We start from the raw sequence: 3,337 nt of genomic DNA, 5'->3' as shown, positions 1-3,337 counted from the left end.
TTCAGATTGTAACCAATACCCCACAGCCCATTCTCTGTCCCCAGTAATTATTTTTGCCTTAGTTCATTACCAGATACTTCATCTCACTGAAACTCATCTGCCACATTCCTGCCCATTCACTCAAACTCCAAAACTCTTCCTGCCATTTATGACCATCAGTGTGGCAAGGCACTTTCTGGATAATTTTGTGCCATCTGCCAATTTAAAGATTTCATGGTGCCTGTTTGTCTGGATCATTTATTTGGGGAAAAAAAGGTTAAATAAGAACAGTGCCCACACCCGTCTCTGGAGAGAATCGTATTTTCCACTCACTGGGTATCAAAGCTAATCTTTGGTGACTTATAGCTGCTTTCTCTCTGGTGCTCTATTTAGATCCTGTGGGTGCTATTGCACCTGGAGGTGTTACAAATTCTGCTTTTGTTTTTAGGTCACAGGGCAGTCAATATAAAATGAGACAGGTGTTTGCATCATAAAACAAGCCAATGGCCTCAGGGGGACCTGGTGGCTTTCCTTTTTTTTTTTATTTCTTCAAATGCCTGGGCCCCAGCAGGAATCATGCACTGCACCACGGGGACAGCTGACTGCACAAGACCAAAGACAGCCATCAGCTGGACGTTGATTTTATGATGACTCAACAGCTCAACAATAAATAATAAAAAATCAACTTTAACCACTCTTTCTAAAGGTGTCCCAGCCTGTGACTCGTTTGCACAGTTTTCATGTGAGTGTGTAGATCCCCAGGCAGGCTTTTCCTCCAAATGCCCAAAGAACAATTAAGAAGTAAATAGGGTTGACAGATGCTGGTAAAATACAAGCCAGCCAGGGAAATACGAATCTAACCAGATGTGTGGGCGGATTGGGAGCGATCTCAGCATCTGTAAAACTGAATAGATTAAGATCTAAAATGAGGGTAGGGGTGGTCAGGAAGAGGAAGAAGATAAGAGGATGCTGAGCTCAGCAAGTTTCCCGCTCAATCACCCACCTAGCATTTGCCAGCACTAAGCAAGAGTGTGCCATGTTTAGAAAAACAGCATCTTATTTGTAACGTCATTCCAAACATTTCCATCCCTGTAAAAAGGGGGCTTTTCATACACAAAGACTCCACGATTATTTCTTGTAACCGATGGTCTTAAGCTTACATCCTGCTAAGACATAGCTTGGTTCAGATAAACTCATGTATTTATTTATTAGTAATATTAATACAAACACTAATGCAGGAAGAATTTATTCTTTCTAGTGAAAAAATGCAAAATAAGGCAATAAAATACCGTCTTTCACCTGTTAAATAGACTATTTTTTTTAATGGTCACATTCAATGTCAGAAAGGATATGATGTAAACTGGTATAGCTTCTGAAAAACAATTTGGCAAAACATGTTTAGAGTTTTAAAAATATGATTTTTGGCCAGGTATGGTGGCTCACGCCTGTAATCCCAGCACTTTGGGAGGCCGAGGCAGGTGGATCATGAGGTCAGGAGATCGAGGCCATACTGGCTAACACAGTGAAACCCTGTCTCCACTAAAAATACAAAAAATTAGCCGGGCGTGGTGGCAGGCGCCTGTAGTCCCAGCTACTCGGGAGGCTGAAGCAGGAGAATGGCGTGAACCCAGGAGGCAGAGCTTGCAGTGAGCCAAGATTATGCCACTGCACTCCAGCCTGGGTGACAGAGCAAGACTGCATCTCAAAAACAAAAAACAAACAAACAAACAAAATATGACTTTTGACCTACTAATTCCAATTTCAAATAGTATTCTACAAAAACAATCAAAGCCACCAATTGTAGTAATATGATATTGGTGAACAGGGAAAAACACCCTAAATTAAATATTTATATTACATCCATATATTAAAATACTATACAGCCACTATGCTTTCTATTTTATGTGGTCTTATAAATGCTTAATAAGTAATAATAATTAAATAAAGCAGAATGCATATACTCCAAGTGGACACACATTAAGAAGCTCAGTATTTATGTATGAGAGTATGTGTATGCTTTTCGAAGTAAAAAGACTTTTCTCTAAGTATTTTCTCATTTTTCTAAATTTTCTGAAATAAGAATGTGTTTCTTGAAGAAAAAATTATTTCAAAAGTTCCTCTTCCTTACTGCCTTTAAACTACAAAATGTATAAAGCCAATAACTTACGCCCCCTTGAAAATATTCTATCAATCAAAACAAACCTGTAAAATGCTCTATCCTGAGGTTTTTTTCTTTAAAGATATATGCTGAAGGTGGCCAGAGTGTGGGATAAAGTCCTTGCTCACCTGGCCACGTCTAGTAAAGAAAGTGCCCCCTTAGTTTCTAGGGCTGTTCCGGCTTTAGGAGGGGGGATTTGAAGCACTTCTTGTCTGATGCCCTGTATCTCTAAGCAAACCTCTGTGTTCCTGACTTGCTAACTGGTGTTAAATGAAGTTTGGCTCAAAACTGCCTCCTTACCTATTTTAAGTTCTGCCTAAAGGTTTCTATGTACATTGTGAACTATAACCTAAATGGAGTTGTATACAGACTATAGCCTCCTTTTGTGCCAATCACAAAAGTTTTAGCCAATAAAAGGTGGCCAATTGTTCAACTAAGGCAACACAGAGCTATAACCAATCCAACTGTTTCTGTACCTCACTTCCATTTTCTGCACATCACTTCCCTTTTTCTGTCCATAAATCTTCCACCACGTGGCTGTGCTGGAGTCCCTGAGCCTACTCTGGCTCTGAAGACTGCCTGATTCGTGAATCCTTCATTGCTGAATTAAACTCTGTGAAACTTAATTTGGCTAAGGTTTTTCTTTTCTTTTTCTTTTTTTTTTTTTGAGGCGGAGTCTCATTCTGTCGTGAGGCTGGAGTGCAGTGGATCTTGGCTCACTGCAACCTCCCTCTCCCAGGTTCAAGTGATTCTCCTGCCTCAGCCTCCCAAGTAGCTGGGACTAAAGGCACATGCCACCATGCCCAGCTAATTTTGGCATTTTTAGTGGAGACGGGGTTTTACTATGTTGGCCAGGCTGGTCTCGATCTCCTGACCTCATGATCCACCCACCTCAGCCTCCCAAAGCTCTGGGATTACAGGCGTGAGCCACTGCGCCCGGCCACATTTTTCTTTTGACACTGAGTTTCTGCTTCATTCCTGAGGTCTACTCCCTCCTCCCTATCCTAGGTCCCATTTGCGCCTTTGCTCAATGAACCAAAGCCTTTGTATTCTTGTGTCTCCAGAACTATGGGTCCTGCCTTGTTCTGCTGGTTAGTAATCCCTGGCTAGTGATCCAGTTATATATCTTTTTAATATCTTTTATATTTTTAGAAAATTTTATTTAGTGATCTACTATGGCCCATGACTTTCTGCTACCAA

At 40.9% G+C, this 3,337-nt stretch overlaps 1 annotated feature.

Annotated features, from left to right (window-relative positions):
• Positions 208 to 741: an enhancer, noted in NCBI's record as "NANOG hESC enhancer chr17:14462906-14463439 (GRCh37/hg19 assembly coordinates)". NCBI's record gives its function as "activates a minimal SCP1, AML or CMV promoter by ChIP-STARR-seq in naive H9 embryonic stem cells {active_cell/tissue: H9 hESC(naive)}" and the evidence as "EXISTENCE:reporter gene assay evidence [ECO:0000049][PMID:30033119]".

Source organism: Homo sapiens, chromosome 17 (assembly GCF_000001405.40).
Source record: "Homo sapiens chromosome 17, GRCh38.p14 Primary Assembly".
Taxonomy (NCBI): Eukaryota; Metazoa; Chordata; class Mammalia; order Primates; family Hominidae; genus Homo; species Homo sapiens.
The sequence above is the reverse complement of the archived record's forward strand: the minus strand, read 5'-3'. Positions and strand labels throughout refer to the sequence as shown.